The sequence below is a fragment of the Homo sapiens genome, chromosome 5, assembly GCF_000001405.40.
Source record: "Homo sapiens chromosome 5, GRCh38.p14 Primary Assembly".
In the NCBI taxonomy this organism is placed as follows: domain Eukaryota; kingdom Metazoa; phylum Chordata; class Mammalia; order Primates; family Hominidae; genus Homo; species Homo sapiens.
In genome coordinates this window covers 119,302,925-119,329,960 of record NC_000005.10, presented here as the reverse complement: position 1 = coordinate 119,329,960, position 27,036 = coordinate 119,302,925, and the positions used below count along the sequence as shown (strand labels likewise).

The window sequence follows — 27,036 nt, the reverse complement described above, 5'->3', positions numbered from 1 at the left end:
AGGGACTGAGATAAACAATATGCTCAGAAGCGTTTTCCAGATGGCCTAACAGAGACGGCGGATGGTCAGACTCACTTCTCACATAAAGGAGGCCTTGCACAGCACAGGATTTCCCCAAACCTTGTCTGGACATGGACTTGCATGGTCCATGTCTAGACAAGGCTGGGGAAATCCTGCTGCTAAGCACCTGGAGATGTCCACAGTGTGCATGGTGCTCTCACTGTGGTCCACTCACTCCTCGCCAAAACCCTGGGAGGTGGGCGTCATTATCCTCGGATTACAGGTGTGGAAACCCAGCTCCATAAAGTTAACATATCTGTTCAGCAGAATGCTGGGATATGAGCCTACATCTGCTGGCTTTTTTCTCTTCATATCATATCGCAAAAGCATCCATGATTCACCAGACAGAAAGCACAAAAAGCAAACTGTGTGGAAAATAGGAAGAACACCTTTCTATTTAACAGAAAGGCAAAAGACCTCACAAGGCCAGGTAGAGTAGTGAGTTAAGCAGTGTGAACAGCTGCTGCTGAGGGCCAGCACAGGGGCAGAGACTGCTCAGGTCTGTCATCACCACAGCTGCCATTCACGTTGCCTGCCCAAATGGGTTGCACAAAAGGTAAGTGTGGGAAGGTAGGCCTTTTTATCATGTAGTACTTGTTTCTATGTTTTAAGTATAAATTGTGTAAAAATGTTGTTAGAAGCAAAAAAAGAAGACTATCTTCTAATTTCTCTTAGAATCAGATAACTTGGGTGTTGGCAAGACCGCTGATACCATCTAACCTCATTTCACAAGCGAGGAAAACAGGGCCATCCAAGGAGGCTGAAAGGCACGCCCAGAATCCCACCACTAGCTGTGAGCAGCACAGCTGCGGCACTCGCTGGGTCCTAGGCCTGCAGAATGAGCATCTACGTCTGTCTTCCTATGATTCATGCTCAAGTCTCTCTTCACACTTGCAGCACCAATGAAAACACTAAATCAGCATTTAGAAAGCAAAGAAACACCGAGTGCTGGCTGCAATAAATATGCTGGCACTTGAATGTGGTTTATTCTCTACTGAACTGAATATAAACAGAGGCCTGACATTTTATAGCATTCTTCCATTGCAAAACCTCATGTAAAACTGAACATGATCCCTCGTAATAAAATACTAAACTAATTAAACTCTCAATTTGCCAAGAAAAACTATCCAATTGTAAGGTAAGTTTCTCTGTAAATTTCTAGAAATTCTGGCTAATAAGGGAACATATGATATTTCCCAAGTTAAATTTCTCATCCTCCCTCCATCACCAACCTGTTATTTTTTTCTCTCTGTTTTAACCTCTCTGGCTCCCTTCACAACCTTGTCACTCAGTCATCACTGATTCCTCCCTTGGTTTGGGTGGTCACTTACTCACCAAGTTCTGCTGTCTTCTCATCTGTGTGTCTCCCATTCTCACTTCCATTTGCATTCTGTTAAACCTCCTTTTGTTTTTAAGGTAGCAGAAGGTGGTTTCTTGAAAAGACAACAATCCAGAGAATGCTAGCCAAGCACTTCTATTCTCCATTCCCTCTCTAGAGGACAGAGAGCTTTCTCATTATGTAGTTTTACCCATGTGGCTATTTTCAAACCAAATTTTTTTTGCGAAGTAAGTTTCAAAAACTTTTCCAGGCTGGACACAGTGGCTCATGCCTGTAATCCCAGCACTTTGGGAGGCCGAGTTGTCTCTTGGAAACAAGGGCAAGGGTTGAGGGTCAGAACTGCAGTGGGTGGCAAAGATAAGAGCGTTTCTGCTCTATAAATTTACATTCTGACTTTTGAACAATGTAAGTATATTGTCATTTTAGATTATATTTTAAAATGTTTATAAACTGCTGAGGTTCTTCCCTGGAAGCCATTTCAAGCCCAGCTGGGTTGATCTTCCTTATGGTCTGTTTCTTCCCTGCAGGGAGACCTGGTCCCTTTCTTTTCTTTCATCTTACTTCACTTAGCTAGACATTATTAGATCTTCCCATACTTTCAAGCAGAAGCTTCTTTTCTTAAGCTCATGTATTATAATGTAACAGCTTAGAGTTGGACATATCTGAGTTCAAGTTAATCTCTGCCACTTACTATATGACCTTGAAATAGTAACTTAATTTCTCTGTGCCTCAGTCACTTCATTTGTAAAGTGAATATAATAATAACCTCCTTCCTAGGGTTGCTGTAAAGCTTAAGATAACGCGGCCGGGCACGGTGGCTCACACGTGTAATCCCAGCACTTTGGGAGGCTGAGGCAGGCGGATCACCTGAGGTCAGGAGTTCGAGACCAGCCTGGCCAACATGGTGAAACCCCGTATCTACTAAAAATACAAAAATTAGCCAGGCGTGGTAGTGGGCACCTGTGGTCCCAGCTACTTGGGAGACTAAGGCAGGAGAATCGCTTGAGCCCAGGAGGCAGAGGTTGCAGTGAGCAGAGATCGCGCCACTGCACTCTAGCCTGGGTAACAGAGCGAGACTCTGTCTCAAAAAACAAACAAACAAAAAAACCCAAAACAATAAAACCTTTTCCAATTTAGAGAGCAATCAGAATTATAACGTCTTGAGTATTTTCCTTTTGATTTTTTCCCCTAAGAAAAGCACACATCATTTTTGAATGTTTGTGGGGAAAATATGATGTGTCACCCAGTTCTGGGCCTCTTCCCATCTGTACCCTGAGCCCACATGTTCATGTACTCCACAGTCAACACACATCCGCCCCCATCCGCCTCAGCCTAACAAAATGAAGAAATTTACTCAACGACAGGGCTGGCAGCAAATCATTCCCAATGGGGGTCTGGGAACAGACATTTCCAGGAAACAACATCTCATCTCCTGGAAAGGAGTTGGAGCCTCATTTCCCCTTTCCACAAATGCAGTCCTTTTCTTACAGAGGAGGAAGAGGCCATGGGAGCCCGAGCCCCTATCCTGTGGTATATACTTCTGTCTCCTCTATCTTCTTGTCACCCAAGCCCCTTCAGGACAATGGAGGGCACACGGGCTGGTTTAATCTGGAAGAGGCTCACTAATTCAGTAAAGGGATGGGTCAAAACTAAATTCATAAATGTTCTTACTTCCAAACAGCTTCTCTTCTAGGGCTCCATATCTCATCTTCCCATCAGTCATTCAAACTAAAACTCTCTGGCTCAGTGTCATCGTGGGTCCCACTCTCCCTCTTCCTCACCTTCAAAACACTCCTCTGCTTTCTCTTCATTTCCAGCCCCATCACCCCAACCTCCTTCAGGCTCATCCTCTGGCCTGAACTTCCTGTGCTTCTTACTTAGTTGTCCTCATGATACATTTTCTCAAAGCACAGCCCGATCACCCTTAACACTGCCATGTGTACCTAGAATTAAGTTTAAAAAGCACTTCCATATCCTCTCTCACCATGTTACCCTCTGATGAGGAGCACGCAATGCTTCCCTGCTGCTCAGGGGTCTGAGTCCATGAGTCAACATAGGACTTAAAGCAGTCCCCAGTCCTGCCCCCACCGTGCTTCACTGTTTTGCCTCTGGGCCTCTGCTCACCTGCTTTCCTCAGCCCCTCGGATTCTTTCCATCATCACCAGCTGCAAAACACTGCCAGTCTCCCAAGGCTCAGCTCAGATGGAGCCTTTCATGACACTGTAGCCAGTCACTGCTCCCACTCCTGCATCTCCGTGATATTTGGACACTTACAGCATTTCCCACATTTTGCTCCAAGAGATAGCCATGTTTGGCTCCAAGAGGTAACCATCACTATACACACCTCATCAGCCCTATTACACCACACATTCCTAAACGACAGGGTGATTTCTTCATTCATTCAGCATGAATGAATCCACCTGCATTTACCTAGTACCTACTGAATGGTAGGCATTGACTTAGATGCTGGGGACATGGGAAATGAAACATAAGGGGTTGCCTGTGTTACAAAACTGACATTCAGTGGGAAAAAGCGGCAGCAGACCAGTAAGCACATACATAAATGAAGGACGGATTGTGAAAGGTGCTAGGGCAAAAATAAACAGGAGGTTCTGACGGAGACCACTCTAGCAGAAGTGGCATTGGAGGTATATGCTGAAAGCCACAGGAATAATGGTCTGGGCAGCAGAAAGAGCAAGTGCTACAGCCCGAGACAGGACAAGCCAGGCATGCTTCAGGGGAAGGAGGGGACAGGGGCTGGTGTGGCTACAGTGACGGAAGCAAGGGGAGGAAAGCTGTAAGAAGCAGCTGGGAGGCCAGGCACGGTGGCTCACGCCTGTAATCCCAGCACTATGGGAGGCCGAGGCCGGCGGATCACGAGGTCAGGAGATCAAGACCATCCTGGCTAACATGGTGAAACCCCATCTCTACTAAAATACAAAAAAAATTAGCCGGGTATGGTGGCGGACGCCTGTAGTCCCAGCTACTCGGGAGGCTGAGGCAGGAGAATGGCGTGAGCCCGGGAGGCAGAGCTTGCAGTGAGCTGAGATCGCACCACTACACTCCAGCCTGGGCGACAGAGTGAGACTCCGTCTCAAAAATAAATAAATAAATAAACAAATTAAGTAATTAAATAAAATAGAGCAGCTGGGAGTTAGGCAAAGGCCAGAATATGTAGACCATATAGGACATGGTAAGGAGTTTATATTATATGACAGGAATGTAAAACAGGACAAACATCTGGAAGGCAAAGTGACAATAAAGATCAAAAACCTTAAAACTCCACAGGCCCTTTGAACCACTTACAGGAATACATCCCATGAAATAGACAGAAGTGTGGACAAGTGCAAGGAAACTGCGCGGGGTTATGACAATGACCCCATATGAAAACTTTTAGAGCCTAACTATCCACATGGGGACTGATTAAGTAAATTATGGCACATCCATATATGGCATGTAATGCAGTCTTTTTTTTTTTATTTTTTATTTTTTAAGAGACAGGGTCTTGCTATGTTGGCCAAGTTGGTCTTGAACCATTGGCCTCAAGCAATTCTCCTGCCTCAGCCTCCCAAAGGGCTAGGATTACAGGTGTGAGCCACTGCGGCTGGCCAGTAATGCAATCTTTAAAACCGATCTTGCAGAGTATTAATAACATGAGAACTCTTCACAAAGGCTACAAAACAATATATAAAAGCAAAGAAATTATATTAAGCCATATATAATTTTTAAAGAGAAAACTATAAGCACACAGAAAAGCGCCTGGAATGATGATATGCACAATATATTTTTTTCTGGGTAGTGACAATAAGGAGTGCCTCTTTTTTTTTTATTGGTCAAATTGTAGTTGATAAATACACTACACAAACATGTAATACTGCTGTGATAAGGAAAAAAGGTTTCAAAAACCCTGTGAGTTACAAGGCATAGCAGAGAGGATATCCCATGAAATCATATAAATAAATAGAGGCTGCCAATCAGGAGGCGGCTGGGGCAATCTTCTGTCTTTTCAGGGAATTTTCAAAGCGAAACAGAAAAACAAACCATAAAAACTCCCTAGAACTTGGGGCAGGAAGTGTGTCATTCCCTTTTTGCTTATCCCTGTGACTCAGCAGTGACTGGAGGCCCCTCTGATCCATGCACGAAGAAGTTAAAGATAGGAGTTCTGAGAGGATGGAGACTTAGAAACCTCACCCAGGAGCTCCCAGCCCCGAGGGGGAAGTTGGGAATGTTGAACTTGGAACTTCTTCTTTTTTTTTTTTTTTTTTTTTTTTTTTTTTTTTTTTTTTTGAGATGGCGTCTTGCTTTGTGGCTCAGGCTGGAGTGCAGTGGCGCGATCTCGGCTCACTGCAGCCTCCACCTCCTGGGTTCAGGTGATTTTCCTGCCTCAGCCTCTCGAGTAGCTGGGATTATAGACACTGGCCAACACACCTGGCTAATTTTTGAATTTTTGGTAGAGATGGGGTTTCATCATTGAACCTGGAACTTCTAAGGAAAAAAATATTCTCTATTCTTTTTTAGAGTCATTACAACAGCAACCAACAGTCTTACCTATAATGTTACAAATTAAACATGATTAAGCTTTTGTCTATTTCCTTTAAATAAGATTTACTTCACAAGACCCAAACCCACTGTTGTTCCAAGCCTTCTTCCCAAACAGGTTTGAAAGTTTAACAAACATTCTAGACAAGTCTCAACAAGTCTCAGGTATTTTGATCCTGGCTTACACAAGCTCAAATTGAAGGAGTTTTACTGCAGAAGCCCATTCAGCCAATTTATGCCCCTGTTCCCCACTGGGAAGCAAAGATGATTTGGTTCCTGTGTCCCCATCTGGCAGCCTCCTAAGCTCAGCACTCAGCCAAAGAACACAGATTACAACTGATTTGCTAACAGAAGCCCACATGCTTCTTTTAGTCCATTTTTAATAACCCTCTGGAAACTACAGAGTGGAGGGAAACATACAGAGCACTATAAAACAAAACAGCAACTTTTGACTCTGGAATCATTTACATTTTTAAGGTAAATTAAATTAAAATGTGAGGACATACAATTAAAATCCAGGACCACTGCCTTCCTACCTTTATTTAACAAATATTTATTGAGGCCTTACTGTGCCCTATGTTAGACTCTAGGGTAAATGACAAACAAGTGGCCAGAGATGTGTATGTATGCAGGGTGGGGTGGGAATGTGCTTGAGGGAGGCAGATATTTCCGAGAAACTCCAAGAAATGCAGCCAGCTTGGGAACAGGTTATTAAGGATCTTATAAGCCCTGTTAAAAAGTTTAGATTTTATCAAAACTCTAATGAGGCATTTTAAGCAAAGGATGATGCAATCAGATGGACATTTTATGAGGCCAATAGCAGCATAGGATGTTAGACTGGAGAAAGTGTAGGGGGTGCAACTGCCCTTTAAGTAACCTAGGAAAGAGATGGCAGCAGTGGCTTGGTCTTAGTTGGTGGCAGTGCACAGTGACAGGCAGTATATAGAGTGTACAGCTATTCACGGGAGAACTGACTATACTGACAACTGATTGGGCATAGGGGTAAGGCCAGAAGCAGCAGCCTTCCAAGTTTCGAGATAGTTACCTGGGTCATTGACTAAGGGGAAAAGTGAAAGAGAAGGCAAGTTCAGCTTTCTTCACATCAAATTTGAGTTGCCTATGAGACATCAAAGAACATTTTCTAGCTAGACACCCAGGTCTAGAACTTAGACAAGAGCTTGGGCCTGGAATGTAAGTTTGGGAGGCACCGGCATGTAGAGAATCTGAAACCCTAGAAATGGGCGGGATCACCAGGGAGAGAGTCGAATAAGAAGGGCAGAGAATCCAGGTGGAGCCTAAGAAATACCAACGTTTTGATATTGGACAAAGAGGAAGAAGCCTGCAAAGAAGACCAAGGAGGGGCACAGAGAAAACGGGGAGGAAAATCAGGAAAGTGGATTATGGAGGACCAGTCTGTCTACAGAAATGGGAGCAGCATGGACTCGTTTGGAATGGTCAGGAAGAGAAGTGAAAGGTCCCCACCTAGCATTAAAATGCCAGAGGCTGCTCAACTTCTCCACGCCTGTGTATTTCTGGAGTTATTGGTAAACAGCAGGGGGCCAAATGGGAGGCAGCAAGAAGAGAGCAGGTTCTGAGATAAACTTAGCAGGAGATCCTGGCCATAGCCAGCATGGTCTGCTCAGAGGCTGGAAAAGGGGCCAAGGTCCTGGGACCACTCCTCAAGGAGTAGCACTTCATCATTCAGCCACAAGTATGTATAGGTCATTTACTGCGTGTGAGCACTGCTGATGGTGCTGGGGATAGAGCAGTGACAAAAGTTCTAACAAAATAGCTGGAAAAACAGGATTTTGAGTGGAGATAAACGCTGTGGAGGGAAAAAACAAACCAGAGGCAGGGGCTAGAGAGTGGGTGGGAGAGAGGAGCATTTTGGATAGGCTTTCTCCTGGGGTAACATCTGAGCAGAAACCTGAGAAAAATTAGAGAGAGAGCCAAGGAACAATCTATAGGGAAGGGGCTTCCAGGCAGAGGGAGGGGTGTGTGCAAAGGCTCTGAAGTAGGAGGAAAGAGCTTGGGAAGTTTGAGGAACAGCATGGTGGTCAGTGTGGCCTGACTGAGGCAGGGAAGGAGGGAGTGGGAGGAAATTAGGTAGCAGAATTGGGCAGAGGCCACATGAAGGGGAGCCTGTAGCTCCTGGTAAGGAGTGGGGAGTTTGTCCGTTGGAATGGAAAGCCGTGGGGGGTTGGAGCAAGGGAATGACTGTGATCAGCGATAAGACCATTCTCATTGCACAAGGACTGTCTGAGAGTGACAGTGCAAGAGCACAGGGGAGTTAGGAGGCTTCTGAGGCTACCCAGAAGAGAAGTGATGGTGGGAGAAGCAGTGAGATTTAGGATGTGCGTATTTGCTAGGGCAAGTGGAAAGAACTTGCTGCCAGGTGAGCTGTGTGATGAGTGAACAGAGGAATCAGGATGCCTCCTGGGCTTGTGGCCTGAGAGCTGCATGCACGAAAGGCAAACCCAGGAAGGAGCCAGTGTGGGGTAAAGGGCATGCAATCAAGATGCCTATTTCTAGTGGAAATGTAAAACAGACAACAGAATAATCACATCTGGAGTTTGGGAAAAATGTGTTAAATACATTAATTTGGAAGTTATTAGTATTGTATTTATCCTCCAGGACTAGAAATCATCCAGATTCTCAATCTTGGCTGTATGCTGGTATACCCAGTAACAAAATATGAACAAAAAAAACCAATTCAAACCAAAACAAAACAAAAACTGATGCCCACAAGTCTTCCCCAAAGGTTCTCAATTAACTAGACTTGGTATCCAAGTCTAGTCTTTTTTTTGAGATGGAGTCTCACGGTGTTGCCCAGGCTGGAGTGCAGTGGCTCGATCTCGGCTCACTGCAAGCTCCGCCTCCCGGGTGCACACCATTCTCCTGCCTCAGCCTCCTGAGTAGCTGGGACTACAGGCACCGGCCACCACGCCCGCCTAGTTTTTTTGTGTTTTTAGTAGAGACGGGGTTTCACCGTGTTAAACAGGATGGCCTCAATCTCCTGACCTTGTGATCCGCCCACCTCGGCCTCCCGGAGTGTTGGGATTACAGGCATGAGCCACCGTGCCCAGCCAAGTCTAGTCTTTTTTAGTTTTTTGTTTTTCGTTTTTTGTTTTTTTTTTAGCAGGTTAAGAACCCTAGAGACAGTGTAGTATGAAGAAGAAAGTCAAGGACTAAGCCCTGGGGCAATTCCATCTGTAGAGGCCCTTGGAGAGAACAGTTATTCAGGTAGGAGAAAAAAAGGGGATGTGATGCCCTGGAAGTCAAGTCAGGACAGTGCTTCAAAGGGAAGTGAGGGGGTGGGGGTGGTTACAAGGTCATACTACAAAAAGAAAAAGAAGGGGGCCGGGATGGATGATGCCAACTACTACTGAGAGACTGAAAAAGATGAGGACTAGAACAGGCCATGGGATTTGTTAAAATGGAGGTCTTTGGTGACCTTAACAGAAAGGGTTTTTGAGGAGTAGTGGAGTGGGGAGGGGCAGCAGGAAGGGGAGATTGTACACACCCCAGGAGACAAGTCTTCTAGCAGTTCTGCCAGAATGGGCAGGAGAGAAGTGCCATAGAGCTGGAAGGCTACATTGAATAGAGAAATTTCTTTAACTTGTTTTTTAAGAAGGGTGATAAAAAGGCATGTTCTGATGGTGATAGGGATGTTTCCATAACTGGAAAGAAATTGATGTGCAAGAGAAAGAATATAATTGCAGGAGGACTTGAAGAAGTTGGAGAGAAAAAGCCTTTAGGGACCCTGAACCAATGAATCTGAAATTCCCCAACTGCCAGATGTATCTTCATTTTTCATTTTCCGGGAGATGTAATATGTCCTAAAAATCACAGTCGCTAGATTGAAATCAACCTTAAAAATCATCTAGTCCAATGTCTACTCCCAGTCCACTACTTGAATCCCCTGTGTCCCCTCCCAGTAGTCGTCTTGACAACCTCCACTGAAAGGCAATTTCTACACTCCATCCACCCCACCACCAACCCATGGTTCATGATCTCTTCGGACACTCCTTGAACTGAACAGAAATCTGTTTTCCTGTGCTTCAATCCACTGGTTCTGGTGCTGTGCCTTCGGGATACACAGAACATGTCTAATCCCTCTTTCACATCTTTCAAACAAACGAAAACTAGTAACTCCTGTCCCACCTTGTTAATTATGTACTTCCTAAACCAAGCCAGTTCTTTTCACATGTATGGACAAACAGATTCTATTCTAGAAAATATCTAGACATGGGCTACAAATCCACCTCGGCGTTCTTTAACATAAAGAAGGTACTGTCAAGCATAATAGAATAAAAGGTGCACCAATATACATAGAAATAACCCATAATAATCCTGGTTACCAAGAAACCAGAGAGGTTCCAGGCTAGTTGGACTTAATCCACTCAATCCTTAAGCACTCATTTAATTATCTCTCTCTCCATCTTGTTCCCCAATTCTAGCAGAGAACTCTCCCACAACATGTGTGTACGCATACACACCACACACTCAACATATGCACATTCACTCAGACTCTCAGATAGGAGAAAATTTGACCATCAACAGCTGCCGTGTTATTAAGCACACGTTGGAATGTTCTCATTAAATCAAGTTTTTAGGAAAGGGTCTCTACAGTATTAACTGATTATTTTCTCGAAACCTCATGTTGGAATACAAACTCCAAAGCCAGAAGAAAAACCTAAATGTTTACATATCCAAACGGATTATTTTATTTCATCTTATCTTATTTCAGGGACAGGGTCTCACTTCATTGCCCAGGCTGAAGTGTAGTAGTGCCATCACAGCTCACTGCAGCCTTGAACTCCTGGGTTCAAGTGACTCTCCCGCCTTCACCTCCCAAAGTGCTGGAATTATAGGTGTCAGCCACCACACCTGGCCAAGAATACTTTTAATGCAATTATAAATTAAGTTAAAAGCACAGTTACAAAAGCCAGGATTAGACTACAATTAAAGTATCCCTTGAATTATGGAGTCACTGCTAATATTCAATGAAGAAACAGGTATGTTGTTCCAAAACTGAAGGAGTATTCATGCCAAATATCATATGAGCTGTTATTCTTCTAGTCTTATTTTAAAACATTCCAACCACTGGAAGTGAAAGGGACCCAAACACGTAAGAGTACTGGCTTAGTGTCTCAAATAACCCTATAATAGGCTAAAACAATTTTTAAAACCAGTATAGTAATTAATGCAAAATGCACATGGTAGGTTCTGAAATGTTTTCTGAATTAATAAACTGCATTACGCTGGAGTCAAGGGTTCATGAGATGGTGAGGAGGAAGGGGAGGAGGGGCAGGAAGAGGGACAGGAGAGGGGAGGGGGCAGGAGGATGCGGGGGGAGGAAGAAAAAAAACTGAAAAACTATAACAGGTATCACTCCAGATTCATATGTACATCAATTTAGTTCTAGGCTAGGCACAGTGGCTCATGTCTGTAATCTCAGCATTTTGGGAGACTGAAGCACGAGGTTCACTTGAGTCAAGGAGTTCAAGACCAGCCTGGGCAACATAGGGGAACCCCGTCTCTACAAAAATAAAAAATAAAAAAAATTAGCCAAGCATGATGGCACATGCATATAGTCCCAGCGACACAGGAAGCTGACGTGGGAGGATTGCTGGAGCCCAGGAGGTCAAGGCTGCAGTGAGCTGTGATCACATTACTGCACTCCAGACTCCAGCCTGGCTAACAGAGGGAGACCTGTCTCAAAAAGAAATCCATTCTAGAACAAAAGGCTGATATAGAGCACTAAAGGTACCACTTGAAATCCCCGTTTAAAGGGACAAACTGAAAAAAAAAAAGAAGTGTCAATCAATCACCTGCAAAAGATCAATGAATTCAGAGCATTTCAAGAGCTGTGACTACTTTGATCAGTTTTGGGGAAGAAAACAGTTTGACTATAATTAATGTTTGACTATAATTAATTAATATAATTAATCAAGGTGGTAAGTCAATTAAATTCACCACCTTGATTAAAGACTAAATTTGACAACTGCATACAAGAAAAAAACACAACTTATTTATGACGAAGATCTTTTATGTGTCCCACACTCTGGAAAAGTGGATGTGTCCAAAGGAAATAAAGATCATGATATCAACTATATAAGGTAGGGCTGGGTGCAGGAGCTCACGCCTGTAATCCCAGCACTTTGGGAGCCAAGGCGGGCAGATTACTTGAGGTCAGGAGTTCAAGACCAGCCTGGCCAACATGGTGAAACCCCCGTCTCTACGAAAATTAAAAAATTAGCCAGCATGGTGGCCTATGCCTATAATCCCAGCTACTTGGGAGGCTGACGCAGGAGAATCATTTGAACCTGGGAGGTGGAGGTTGCAGTGAGCCGAAATCGCGCCACTGCACTCCAGCCTGGGCAAGAGAGTGAGACTCCATCTCAAATAATAATAATAATAATTATTATTATTATTATCATATAAGGTAAATATTTGATGATAAATATAGGTCAATATAACCTGCTATGAAAGCATCCTGAATATCTCAAAATTAAAGAAAACTGATTTTGATACAATTAAAAAATGCCTTTCTTAGCCTCCCCTTATCTAATCAAAAGGAAGAAAGAATAAAAAGTCTCTACAGCACATAGAATCAGATTTCTTATATAATTTCTTATATAATCACTTTCAAATGGTTCATTCTGTAATTTTAGAAAACTTTATATCAGGCCAAACAATTTAAAAGCATATTTAAAAATTATTTATTTTGGCTAATTTCTATTGGTTTAATGTTCTTAACTTGGGTCTTCTTCCAAGCCATTCAAGTACAATAAATTTATGGACTACAGGAAGAAGTCCTACCCAAGAAATCGGAACCAGGAGGTGCACCAGCCACAAGGACAGGCCTCCATGATGGCAGACGCAGAAGAGGCTCAAAGGGCAGAGGCAAAACTACTTCCTTTTTATTATCTTGCCGGGTGGCTAAAAATGTAAAGTTCTACATGCTATTATTTCCTCACAACAGGCATATACATTGCTCTGGCATTTCTTCAGCCTGATTTTTCTAGAACATTGTTTCTCAGCCTTGGTTCTACTGATATTTTGGCCCACATAATTGTTATGGGGAGCTTTTGGGTGCATTGTGGGATGCTTTGAAGCATCTCTGTCTTCTACCCACTAGATACCAGCAGCAAACCCCTCCCAGTTTGCTAAAATTGTCTTTGGATATTACCAAATGTCTCTTGCGGGCAGGGCAAAACTGCCCCCAGTTGAGAGCCATGTTCTCGAGCACTGGTTCTTAAATTGGCTACATGTTGGAAGCATCTGAGGAGGTTTTAAAAATACTGATACCTGAGTCTCACCCTCAGAGATTTTGACTTAATTAGTCTGGAGTAGGCCTGAGGCACCTGGATTTTTGAAAGAGATTCTAATGTGCAGCCAAGTGTGAGAATCTCTGCCTTAGAGTTTATCAATACCATCAAGTAAGTCATTTAATCAATTTAACCCAACTCAAAAATGCATTGTATCTCTCCACACTAGGGTCTTCTTTATCTTGGTACCAGAATCAACATGATTAGGGGACATAGAAAGAAGTGGAGAAGGCCAGGTGTGACGGCTCACGCCTGTAATCCTAGCACTTTGGGAGGTCGAGATGCGAGGATCACTTGAACCCAGGGGTTCGAAAAGAGCCTAGGCAACATGGCGAAACCGTTTCTTACAAAAAATATGAAACTTAGCTGGGCATGGTGACACATACCTGTGGTTCCAGCTACTCAGGAGACTGAGGTGGGAGGATCGCTTGAGCCCAGGAGTTAGAGGCTGCAGTGAGCTATGATCTCACCACTGCACTTCAGCCTGGGTGACACAGGAAGATCCTGTCTCAAAAAAAAAAAAAAAAAAGTGGAAGAACTAGAAAAAGGTCAACTGTAGTTCTAATCTGCAAAGTTCTTTACCCTTTTAGGTGAACAGGAACTAGTGCATAAAAATTTATTTCAGCTTTAACATTGCAACTAAAAACACTCCAGTTTTGGAGATTTAGAAAATAAGCCTCACAGGTAGGAAGACAGAATTACTTCCTCACATGGTAAAATGCCAGCTCTACAATGAAGAAACTCTGGAGCTGCCATCTCTTTAATGGGCACCATTAAACCAGCCTCAGAGAAATGCCAAGTTCATTTAAAATAATAAACAAATCTGTGTGTGTGAAGACACCCAGAGGACCCACACAGGAACTGCAATCAAGACTTCTGTGTGTGTGGGTGGTGGAGGTGGGGTTCATCTTCAGATAGACGACACTACCAGGAACCTGTCAGGAGCTGACAGCAAAGCTTGATTCCTGTAAAAAAGCTCCAAGGTCATGAACAGCCCACATGCTTCCCTCCTGTCCATTACACCTCGGGGTCTTCTGCCAGCTTCCTCAGTGTGTTCAACAACACTGGGCCTGACTCCAACTTCTGCAGACAGTGGCACAGCACTGCCCCTGAAAGGCACTGTTCCCCTGGGAGCTAGACTGTGGCTACAGTATTCTCATCAAATGTGTGCCAATCTACTGGTTATGCCAACACACATTGTCTGTTGTTTTTTTGATAAGAAAAAAGTAAGGAGACACACACATGCATACACACATAATAAGGATTCTTCTCCCATTTCAGGAATAAGAATTATCAGTAACTTATGGCCAGGTGAGATGGCTAATACCTGTAATCCCAGCACTTTGGGAGGCCAAGATAGGTGGATCATTTGAGGTCAGGGGTTCAAGACCAGCCTGGCCAACATGGTGAAACCCTGTCCCTACTAAAAATACAAAAAATAAGCTGGGCCTGGTGGCGGGCACCTGTAGTCCCAGCTACTCAGGAGGCTGAAGCAGGAGAATGGTGAGAACCCCGGAGGCGGAGCTTGTAGTGAGCTGAGATCGCACCACTGCACTCCAGCCTGGGCAACAAAGAGAGACTCCATCTCGAAAAACAAAACACAAAACAAAACAAAACAAAAAACCACACACACACAAAAATTAGCCGGGCGTAGTGGTGAGTGCCTGTGATCCCAGCTACTGGGGAGGCTGAAGCAGCAGAACTGCTTGAACCCGGGAGGTGGAGGCTGCAGTAAGCCGAAATCATGCCACTGCACTCCAGCCTAGGTGACAGAAAATAATGAAAAAAAATAAATAATTGGTAACTTGTAGTAAGTGGTTAGGATGAGTACAGTACTTTACTATGCGCCATACATGCTTTAATCTTACTAACTCCTGACAGCACTGAAAAGCAGGTCCTATTAATGTCCTCATTTTATAGATAAAGTAATTGAGGCTTATGCAGTCTTAAGAAATTTATCCAAGGCAAAGCCAGGACCTGGACCTATTTCTCTCTGGCTCCAAAGCTGATGCTTTTAACCACTACACAGTACTGTCTCTCTGGTTCTCAAAAACAAAAAAACAAATCCCAATCAGTGATATGAACTCAACTCTACCACCTGTGAGTGTTTCAAGTTCTTACTGATTTGGGTTGGACAAGGTTAGAAGAAAAGTTTGTGGATATGGAGAGGATGCATGATACACAAATTTTGTTCCAGACTCCATCAACAAGACCACAGGGCACCGTGTATGTCTTTGAATCTGTCTGTTTTTGTGTGTGTGTGCATGTGTATATGACAGAGAGAGGAAACATTTCACAGAACATATGAACATATCCGGGAAAACCTGGTCTTACCACTAGTTTGTAAGTTCCAAGAGGACAGGGACTATTTCTATCAGCATTTATTCAGTCAGCAACTAATACTGAGTGCTTACCACTGGCCAGACCCTGTCCCATGTGCTGGAGATTCACAAATGAACAAAACAGACGACAGACATGGTTTTTTTGTTTGTTTGTTTGTTTGTTTGTTTGTTTGTTTTTAGAGACAGCATCTCGCTATATTGCCTAGGCTAGATGCGAATTCCTGGGCTCAAGTAATCCTCCTGCCTCAGCCACCCAAGTAGCTGGGATTGTAATGCCAGGCATGTGTCATGACACAGGTCATTCTTAACCAGTAATTATGCTGCCTCTACTAGATTTTATGCTAGTTGCATTTACTCTGTCTATAGCAAGGAAAACTAACTTAATTTTGTTTGTCCCTTTAACCTCAAAACCCACACATGAATGCCTAGTGAATAATAAGCACTTTAATATTTGCTGAATAAATGAATTGGTCAGCAGCATACACTTTAGCACTTAATTCAAAAGCTAAGTGAGATGCAAAATGTTTCATGTGCTTGAGCCTTGTTGCTCCAGCTAGTGTATAAACTTCTTAAGCACAAGGATCACATTATGTTTATATGTACCAAATAAAAGCATTCCATCTTAAGGCTGCTTCACAACATACCAGTCCCAGAATTTAAAATAAGCACACATAATTTGTACTTCCATGAAATTATTAAAGGTACTGACAATTCTATTAATAAACATCATTTGTTAAAAAGGAGGCTATCATATTTTGGCAAGTACTAAACTTTAGCAAATGCATATCTTCCCTGTTGTAGGGCATCTTTAAAATAAAAGAAAATGTCAAAGCCCGTGCCTATTATGAGACCCTTAGGAACAGTATAACATCTCTGGATTTGGGGGTTTGGCAGCTCTGGCAATGGTGGTCTCAAGAAAGTGAAAGCAAAACCTACTCCCCTTCCTTCTCTCCCTCCACCCTGGCCCCCAAAGCCTCATGTTTCATTACAAGCTGAGTGCCCTCAGACTTCCAAGTACCTTTAAGGTTTCTGTAAAACTCCTTTGAGCTTGTGGCAGATTTCAAAAAGTGGGCTTTTAAAATAAGCAGAAGAATTTTCTTTGGAGCTGTTAAGTAGTCTTGAACTCAAATATAGATTCTTGGCTTTGAACTAATTATCTATAACAAAAATGACAAATACGAAGCTGACCACTCTTACCCAATTGTTCTGGAAATTTCTGAAGCACTGTCAACCATTTTCACTGCATATAATATCTTCTCAGTGTAATTCTTCCCCATCTTCATTGAGGTTCTTTTAATATAATTTAACCCTTCTTAATATTAAGCCAAGTAAGGATTATAATAATAATCAAAACAAGTATTTGTCCCGGTTTTTATTAGATAGCCTATTTTCCCAAGTACAGATTATCCTAGTGAACTTCATTTTCCCTTTTAAAAATGTACATTCTATTCAGAATCTACAGAACTTTTAATTACCACATTTGCCTATTCTGCATGATCTGAGAGCTAACCTCTGCCCTTTGGTATTCTTTCACTGTAGTTACCCAACATTTTCCTTCTGAATGTAGATCTTCATATTCTTTTTTTTTTTTTTTTTTTTTTGTATTTTTTGCAGGGACAGGGTTTCACCATATTGCTCAGGGTAGTCTCGAACTCCTGAGCTCAAGGGATCCACCCTGCCTTGGCCTCCCAGTGTGCTGGGATTTCACACGTGAGCCACCGAGCCCAGCTACATTCTTATTTCCTAAACTTTACAAGTTCACACTCTTCCCTTTAAACAAATGTGCCCCCTCTGGCGGTGTCATTTGAGTCCCGGTGTATGTCATTAAGCCTCTTAACCTCAACCACTACTTCCCACTGAAATAACTCTATTTTCTTTTTTTCTAATGAAAAAGTAAGACATGTTCTATGTAAAAATTAAAATATGGTGAGCACTTACCACTTACTATGAGCCAGGCATTGAACTAAGTATTTTTTAATCTTATTTTCATCCTCGTGATATGAGGTCAGTGCTTTGATGAGTTCCATTTTACGTAAGAAAGTAGTTAAGCAAATTGCCAAGTTACAATAGCAGAAAGAGCAGAGTCAGAATTTGAATCCAGCTCTGTTTCCAAACTCTGGCTCAAACTGCTGTGTCAAACCAGACTCCTCCCCAATCCATTCCCAGCTAGAATCCCAGATAATAATTTGGTTATTTTTTTTCCCAAAGTTTTAAATACCAAATAAGCATGCCTATCCTTTGCCCTACCACCTTCTTTCTTACTTAAACAGGACCATATTATATACATTAGTTTAAAAGTTAATACTATAGTGTATCTTTCATAGTCAATATATAAAGCTCTTTTTTCTTTCTGTCATGGTTCCACACTAGTCCATCCTGTGGTAGTACTGCAACAAAGTTAACCTTAGTTAAACTAGGTTTGGTTAAATTTGATGAACATTTAGGCTGTTAAGCACCACAGGTCTATGGATACTTTCATTCCTCTGCTTAACACTCAAACTCTATAAACCAGAGCTTTGTCCCTCCTTCACGGGTGAACACCCACAATGTCCCTTCATCAGCACTTCCTAATAATTTTACTCTGCTCTTGCTAATCACCTTATTTGCCCGTTCCATTGATATGAGTTCATTCACTGATTTTTTTTTTTTTTTTTTTTTGAGACGGAGTCTCACTCTGTCACCCAGGCTGGAGTGCAGTGGCGCAATTTTGGCTCACTGCAACCTCCACCTTCTGGGTTCAAGTGATTCTCCTGCCTCAGCCTCCCAAGTAGCTGGGACCACAGGTGCGCCACCACACCCAGTTAATTTTTTGTATTTTTAGTAGAGACGGGGTTTCACCATGTTAGCCAGGATGGTCTCAATCTCCTGACCTTGTGATCCACCTGCCTTGGCCTCCCAAAGTGCTGAGATTACAGGTGTGAGCCACCACGCCCAGCCCATTCATTGGGTTTTTAATATTTATTTGACTGTTCAAAATTCACAGTGCCATTTCAACCTTTTGTTTCCTTTAAAATGAACACCAAGGCCGGGCACAGTAACTCATGCCTGTAATCTCAGCACTTTGGGAGGCCAAGGCAGGAAGATCACTTGAGCCCAAGGGTTCAAGACCAGCTTGGGCATCATAGCAAGACCCCATGTCTATGAAAAATTTTAAAAATTAGCCAGGTGTGGTGATGTGTACCTATAGTCCCAACTACACTGGGGGCTGAAGTGGGAGGATCGCTCAAGGCCAGGAGGTTGAGGCTGCAGTGAGGTATAATCATGCCATTGCACTCCAGCCTAGGCAACAGAGCAAGACCTTGTCTCAAAAAATAAAACAAAACAAAACAAACAAAAAACAGATAAAATGAACACCAAAACAAAGCTAGGAATATTTAAGGCTTTGGAGTATAATGCTTTTGTTTGAAAACTCTTAAGTAGGTTTTAAGAGTATGGGGAAGGAGAAGGGGACCAGACAGGGGAGAGAAGGGCCAACCCCTGCTCTCAGAGAAATGTATTGATTGATTGATTGATTGATTGATTGGTGGAGTCTCGATCTGTCACCCAAGCTGGAGTGCAGTGGCGCAATCTCCACTCACTGTAACCTCCGCCTCCCCAGTTCAAGCAATTCTCCCGCCTCAGCCTCTCAAGTAACTGGGATTACAGGCACGTGCCACCACACCCAGCTAATTCTTAGTAGAGACAGGGTTTTACCATATTAGCCAGGATGGTGTCAAACTCCTGACCTCAAGTGATCTACCTGCCTCGGCCTCCCAAAGTGCTGGGATTACAGGTGTGAGCCACCGCACCTGGCCTCAAAGCATTTTAATAAGCCTTCAGGACTAGGCTTTGGCCCAGACCAGGTTTCGCTCTCTCTCCTCTCAAAGTTTTCTGAGATCTTCTTCCTTGTCCCTACCGTGAGAGGTGCCCTGTAGTCCTCCAGTGGGCGCTGCCTTGGCCTACAGCCTTTGGCCTTCTCCAGCGAAGTATCCCTGCTGGGGTAACTGTCCTAGGAGAAGTTCAATTTCTGGGAATTAGCACAGAATTCCCTCCACTCAGGGCTCTCCCAGGACGACCTTACCATGTTTCTAGCCTCAGCCCAGTGTCTACCAGCCGTAGTACCTCATCTTGTGGAGGGAGTCCAGGGAGCGAAAGAGTGACATCTGTTTCCTAACCTCTACATCAGCAAATGCATCTGAGTTCTGACAGATACAATTAGCCTCAATGTAGCTGATTTCCACAGCTCTAAAAACCATCTCCTTGGGGAAGAAAACCTCTCCCCATAAAAGAAATCAAAGATGGACAGAAGAAGGGAAAAGAACAGCCACTTTTTGAGATCCTACTAAGTGACAATGTGCCAGATGTTTTATTCAGGTCATCCCAGTTGGCCCTCCACAGTCCTGTGTGTCTGGTTTTATTTCTTCCCATTTTCAGTGGGAAAACAGTGGCTTAAAGAAGCAAATGACTTGACTAGCCAAAGCCTCACGCTTGGGAAGCATTAGAGCTGAAATTCAGGTAATGGTCCGCCCCAGACTTCTTGAGCCCGCATGTTAAATGCCAATAAGACAAGAGCAGAATTTTCCAACCTGAGGCCCACAGACTCCCTAGCAGCCCCTAGATGGGCTTTGGGGTTATCAGAATGTCCTGAGACTGGGGTGATGTGTCTTTTGTGAGTGGGGAGTCACTCTGAATGCTCCCACATTGCCTCCCCTGCTCCTCCCATAGTCTGAACACCGATGCTTCGATCACGTGCAGAACTACCCACCCTGCTCTTCTGCCATTTCCTCTATTGTTATCTTTTCATTATAGTCTTGAGAGCCATCTTCTTGCCATCTTATTTAAACAACTGTTGAAAGGGAATCCCTTTTGGAGAATGTGCTGGAGCGAGCCACAGCTGCCCCTGTGGCAGCTGCCCCTGTGACAAGCATCACCACCCTCAAGCTTTCATCAGATTCTCAAAAGGGTCCAGAAACCAAAAAAGGATTGAAATCTAGTCAGGAACACTTCTACAGTCTTTTTTTCCTTTAACAAATAAAAACTAAAAATGCTGCTGAAAGTATGGTAAGTGTCTTCCAAAGGTGTCCATTCAGAGATGCAGAGGCACCCACAGAAAAGCCCTCAAGTGACCACATTTCATCTTGGCACAATAAAATTATTATTTGTCACTGAAGGTGAGAAAGTAGAATACCAATGCATGTTGCAGAGGCTTTTAACACAGAGGAAGGAAGTTGTGGTTTGAGTAGAGGAGGAAACTGCAGTAAAGGTCTTTGATCTTTGTATTTCACAAAAAGCAACTGAAAATGTAAATAACTGTCTCCTTCAATGCCACTTGACAGTTAACAAGAAACAGTTTAGCAATTTTATCACATACATGCACAACTGCTTTTGCCTTTTTACCAGGCTATGATAGATAACTGGAGAGAGCATGAGTCAAATGGAGCAACAAGGAGCACGCTGGCTCAGATGCTCTTCCAGTGCAATATCAGAATGGTCTTTTTTTTTTTTTTTTTTTTGAGATGGAGTCTCACTCTGCAACCCAGGCTGGAGTGCAGTGGCACAATCTTGGCTCACTCTGCCACCTGGGTTCAAAAGATTCTCCTGCCTCAGCCTCCCGAGTAGCTGGGATTACAGGCACCTGCCACTGCACCTGGCTAATTTTTGTAGTTTTAGTAGAGATGGGGTTTCACCGTCCTGAAAGGCTGGTCTTCAACTCCTGACCTCGTGATCTACCCGCCTCGGCCTCCCAAAGTGGTGGATTACAGGCATGAGCCACTGTGCCCAGCCTAGAATGGTCTTAAGAAAGACCAAAAAAGCTTATACAGTCAAGACCATTTATTAAGTGCCAACTGTTTAAGACCTCCTCCCAAGGCCAACCCTGATGCAATGGAAACCTTTCAGTGCCAAGAGGCAGGAAGGCACAGCCTACATGATGCACTGCACACACAGCTGGGAAACCAAAAAAAAAAAAAAAAAAAGGTGGGAAACGTAGAAGAGAGAAAAATATAGATTTCAAAGCTAATTAAACAGAAAGAGAGAAACAGATGTGAGGGACAAAACTTGCCAACACCAAGCCCTTGGGAAATGATACAGATTCCCCTAGGAGAGTTCACAGGCGGCAGACTTCTGGAAAACCTGCAGGAAAGAGGGAATGCTGTCATTTGCAAGAACGCTATCAGTTCACAACTAGTGTGCCTTCCTGTAATATTTATCTAATAATATTATTTTAATATCAATTATCAGTTGGGCAAGAGGTGCAAAATGCCACATGTTGCACCACAAGAAGTTTGCTCATCTGTAAATTACAGGGGTTAGAATAAACTTCTAACTTCTCTAAGTAACATGATATTAGTATTTTTCAAGGTGCTGTTTGTGATTTGATTTTTCCTTGCAATGAGGCTCTTTAGCAAATGAAGGCTGGCTTTTAAATCACATGTGCAGACTCCAAAGGACAGTACTAGCTACTGATAAACATGGGGTGTCTGCAAAACTCTGGCTTGTTTCCAAGATTGCTCCAATGGGAAAACAATTAAAACTACATTCTCACTATTAAATTAGAATAATTTCCAAATAAATCTTGAAGGACATATACATATATACACACAGTCTTACTAAAATACACTTGCATTTCCATGATTCTAAAATACCATTGGTTGTAAGATGCACAATTTAACGCAGAATTTTTTGGGGAAAAGACTGTAGTATTATCTGTGCACCTGCATTATACAACATATCTCCAATTGAGAATTGTTAAAAAATGAAAAATATGCACCTTAGAATTGAAACACGATGGTATGAATGGATACATAGAGATGCTTAACTATATGCATCTATCCATCTTTCCAGAAATTTTTCTCTACAAGGAACCTTGGCAGAAGCTGCTCATTTGTGTGTTTGGTTCTTTCTAACACTGAAAAACACAGAAGCTAGCAAAAGATTTTTTTAAGTTGTACAAAAAAAGTACTGTATGTACACCTTCTGACTCAGCAATTACACTTCCAGAAACTTATAAATATAATTGCTTGTATGTAATGACATATAAACGTGGTTGTTTATTGCAGCATTATTTATAACATAAAAATCAGTAAAGAACAAGAATGTTCAACAATAAGCGAATTCTTAAACCATAGTATATTTGTGGACTTGGAATACAGAATACATATCTTAATATGGATTTAGAATATGGAATACTACGAAAGAAAAAGAATGAAGTAGATTTCTCTCCTTCCTAATATGAACTGATGTTCAAAGTATTTAATGTGGAAAAAAGGCGAGTCCCAAAGAGTAATTTTCTGTATGTCATCAACTATAAAATGTACATCATTTCATATTTTAACATATTTGAAATTGGGCTGTACCAATCAATAGCATCTTAAGAGTCCACAAAAAACAGTAGTTTGATCCTATTTGTACATATATGTATGAAACGTGCATGCCTTAATATGCATAGGAAATTTCTGGGAAGCTACTTTTAACTGTAAAGTAGAAAAAGAGAAAGATGTCTTATTTGTTTTATTTTACTTTACCCTATAGCCTTTATTTAAGTATGAGGTGTTTCCTTGAATACATATTACTTCTGAAACAAACCAACCAACCAACCAAGTATAAACCATTCTAGGCTCCTAAAAGGTAATGGCTTGGATAATCACTGGGACAGGGTATCCCTTTTGGGAAAATCACTCCTAGGAAAATTTTTTATTCATTAAAAAACATATTTCATAAAAAAAATGAAAAGCAAGGCCAGGCACGGTGGCATGTGCCCATAGTCCCAGCTACTTGGGAGGCCAAGACAGGAGGATCGCTTGAGCCCAGAAGTTCTGGGCTGTATGACGATCAGGCGTCCACACTAAGTTCAGCACCAATATGGTGACCTCCCAGGAGCAGGGGACCACCAGGTTGCCTAAGGAGGGTAGAACCAGCCCAGGTCAGAAACAGAGCAGATCAAAATCCTGTGCTGATCAGTAGTGGGATTGCGCCTATGAACAGCCACTGCTCTCCAGTTTGGGAAACATAGAGACACCCCATCTTGGAAAAAAAAAAAAAAAAGAAAAAGAAAGAAAGAAAGAAAAAAGAAAAGAGAAAAGCAAAGCAAAGCAAGGATCAAAGAAGGAAATGTAAGGATCAAAGAAAGAAGACATTCACTAGGAGATCCTAAGCACCTAGCTCTTCTGCTTCTTTTCTGTTTTCTGATCATTTAGGCAAGTTTTGCCAAAAGGTATAGCTTGTTCTCCACGCTAGAGGTAGAGGGGGTTGGTAATTCAGAGGAATTCATAGGAAGTCCTGTTTTCTGGAAGGATGGAGGTGTGAAACAGCAATATAGTCTCCTTATCTGGGAGGTGGTGGGCAGCGGGGTTGAGGGCAGGGCGGCGCAGGCAGTCCATTACAAGGCCAACCACACGCAACACTGGAGGGTGGCCAGAAGGATCCGGAGCCAGGTGCACGGCACAGGTAAGTGGGAACCCTCAAGAGCCCTCAGAGGATGGAGATTTTAGGGCAGTGTTGCTCACCCTGTGGCCCTCCATCCAAGAATGAACAAGGGACCCTTATTAACATGCAGGTTCCTCTGGCCTACCCATACCTCAGCAAAGTAATTTCCATAAACATTCCAACAGTATACCTGAGCTATCATGATTTGGGTATTTGTAATGTGTCATTTATAAAGCGAGGTCTAGAAATTTAGATAACCTTTATAAAGTGCAAAAAGTAGATTTGAGGCAATGGAGTTTAACAAACTTTGTTTCAAATGACTTAAAAAAAAAACTCTTAACAGATGGGATCTCACTGTGTTGCCAGGCTGCAGTGCAATGGCTATTCAAAGGTGTGATCAAGTGCACTACAGCCTTGAACTCCTGGGCTCATGTGATCCTCCTGCCTCAGCCTTCCGAGCAGCTGGGACTACAGGTGTACACCACCACACCCAGGCCCAAATGACCTTTAAAATTAGAATTGATATGACCACTCAAATAAAATGCATCTACATATTCTCAGATTAAAGCCTATACATTTTAATAGTTGTTAGAAACTGAAACAGATATTTGGAAATTTCATCTCCTCCTTGAGAACTAGAAAATATGTATCTTTCCCAACATATTCAATTAAGAAAATAGTCATTTGAAAAATCAGTTCATTTTTGAGGGAAGAAAGCCCGAAAATGACTATCAAAGAGGTTTTTTAAGATACCCCATATTTTCTGAAACCTTTTATTTTCCTTTGTAAATCAGCTTATTTAGATTCTGCTTACAGAGTGATCTTATAACTGGGAGTTCACAGCACTGGAATCTACACTTCCAATAGCTCTTCCTCTGTTATTCCAGCTTGGAGTTTACAGATTGACGTTCACCTCCCTCCTCCCTCCCAGGAATGTGGTATTTTCTCTTTATGTCAAGCAGAATGCAGATTACACTGACTCATTCATAAATGATTTTAATTATATATCATTTTTCAGATAATTTTCACCTCACCATTCTTTTGGGACTTTTCTGTTCTGGTACAATGCAGCTTCAAACACAGAGTTAGAATTTATCACTTCAATCAATTTGTATTAAACAGAAATATGCTGATTTGCTTCCTGATGCATCCAAAAGGGAAACCTGTGCTACACAGTTGATATAGAAGATAACTGAAAATAATTTCTAAAAGGATAGTATCAGTTTCACTGACAGGAAATTATCCTCTGGAAAGAAAACAGGAACAGTTATGTTACTTTCATCTCATAGAAGTGAGCTCATGCAATCGTGGTCTTTGCACAACATTCCCAACCAGAGAGTAACTGTGAGGACTAGGCATCATATTCAGGTAATTCTAAGGTGCAAGTTTTAAGGACTTTGCCTATGGTGTGTGCATGGTATCAGGGAAGGGGATCAGGTTTCCCTGTGGGTCACTGAGGGACCATTATAGGGAATTGTGTGTTTAGTTTAGAGGTAAGAAACAGTTCAGAATGGCAAAAGCACAGAGTGAGTGCCTTTGGAAAAGCAGGAGGAAATGAGGCTGCAAAGCTGGACAGGAACCAGATAAAGAGGCCTTTAATATGTTTGGTGAAGGAGTTTGAACTTGATTCTGAAAGCAGGAGGAGCACTTTTAAGAATTTCAGGCTGGGTTAGCCAAGCCACCTGTAATCCCAGCTACACAGGAGGCTGCGGCAGGAGGATCACTTGAGGCCAGGTATTTGGGGCTGCAGTGAGCTATGATCATGCCACTACACTCCAGCCTGGGCAACAGAGCAAGACCGTATCTCTACAAAAAATAAAAATTAAACTTAAATTTGAAAAAAAGGAAAAAAGAAAATCAGAAAGAATTTCAAGCTGGGGAATGACAGGATCCGATCTGTATCGTAGAAAGATCGCTCAAGCCATAAGAAAGGAGACTCAGGAGGGCAGTCACTCCATTTATACTCAGAAGACAGAGGGAGAAAAGGCTGAGAAAACCTCCATTCAAATACTGACATTTAGAACTCACTTACCGGGTATGTTTACTTAGGTAAAATATTTCACCCCTTTACAATAGTGGGGAGCTATCGCACAAGGTTCTAGAAACTAAGTGTGGCTGTTTCATATTTACTTCTTACTATAGGGTTCACTTAAACAATGTGACTAAAGAACTGGGAAGGGGAACCATCTCATGAATCTGTGTGGCCCTGCTTGGAAGAGGCTCTCTCTGTCTCCCTGTTGTTTGTGTTGCTGCTCATGGTTACTGCATGAAACTTCTACTTGAATTCAACTTGTTTTTATTTTATGTTCTACTTGTCTGAAGCAAGCATTCAACCTTTCCGGTTAATATGCCATTACACATCTTTTTGGATCTACTACACCCACTTCTACCCAAATGATAAGGGAAGCAAAAGCCCTGTCACCAACCTTTGAGAGCTCTGAGGTGCAAGTCAAGGTATGTAGCTTTACTGACCCACAAGAGGCACAGGTCCATCTAACTGAGCCCATTACAGAGCACACAGCACTGCTCATACTGTACCAGGAATGAGACAGCAGAGGGAGAAGGAAGGAGGTGAAACACCTTCTGCATAACATGTTGTCAGTGGCAAAACATTAACTGGGACCCAAGCCTCTGACTTCCAAACTCTGAGCATTTTCTAGATGACATACACTTTAAACAAAACACAGTACTCATTAAAGTAAGCATATTCTTCATGACCTCACTGGCATGGGTAATGGAAAACCAAGAAGTTATCTCTAATTGAATTGGAATGTTTACACTGGCTGCATAGCTGCTCCCCTAAAGGAATCTGTGGGGAAACCAGGCTCTGGTTTCCTCATTTCCTAGTGTGTGGTTTTTTCAGGGCACTAGGCACATGAAGGGAGTCTTTCTAACAGGGAGGAGGAGCTGAAGAGTGTGTCAGACATGAAAGGTCCTTCCAAGCAAAGTTCTAACACATGATAAAATCAAATGAATGACGGCAGAAATTGTACTTCTAATGGCTGACTGCGTAACAATT

At 42.6% G+C, this 27,036-nt stretch overlaps 1 protein-coding gene and 1 pseudogene across 3 annotated transcripts in view, besides 3 other annotated features; one reads left to right on the top strand and one right to left on the bottom strand.

Moving 5' to 3' along the window:
• TNFAIP8 (TNF alpha induced protein 8) overlaps positions 1–27,036 on the bottom strand; it is a 130,930-nt gene that overhangs the window by 69,728 nt on the left and 34,166 nt on the right. The window contains exon 2 of one of the 3 annotated variants that reach the window (NM_001286817.2): positions 13,659–13,780. The exons of 1 other annotated variant lie outside the window; for it this stretch is intronic. The gene's annotated coding sequence lies outside the window, so the exon portion shown is untranslated. The remainder of the gene's footprint in view (positions 1–13,658; positions 13,781–27,036) is intronic. One more of the 3 variants, NM_001286815.2, reaches the window with a different exon arrangement.
• Positions 378–1,065: an enhancer, noted in NCBI's record as "H3K4me1 hESC enhancer chr5:118664591-118665278 (GRCh37/hg19 assembly coordinates)". NCBI's record gives its function as "activates a minimal SCP1, AML or CMV promoter by ChIP-STARR-seq in primed H9 embryonic stem cells {active_cell/tissue: H9 hESC(primed)}" and the evidence as "EXISTENCE:reporter gene assay evidence [ECO:0000049][PMID:30033119]".
• Positions 604–653: an enhancer, noted in NCBI's record as "active region_22970". NCBI's record gives its function as "activates an Ori minimal core promoter by ATAC-STARR-seq in GM12878 lymphoblastoid cells {active_cell/tissue: GM12878}" and the evidence as "EXISTENCE:reporter gene assay evidence [ECO:0000049][PMID:35858748]".
• Positions 11,381–11,640: an enhancer, noted in NCBI's record as "active region_22969". NCBI's record gives its function as "activates an Ori minimal core promoter by ATAC-STARR-seq in GM12878 lymphoblastoid cells {active_cell/tissue: GM12878}" and the evidence as "EXISTENCE:reporter gene assay evidence [ECO:0000049][PMID:35858748]".
• RN7SL174P (RNA, 7SL, cytoplasmic 174, pseudogene) lies at positions 23,330–23,618 on the top strand (annotated as a pseudogene).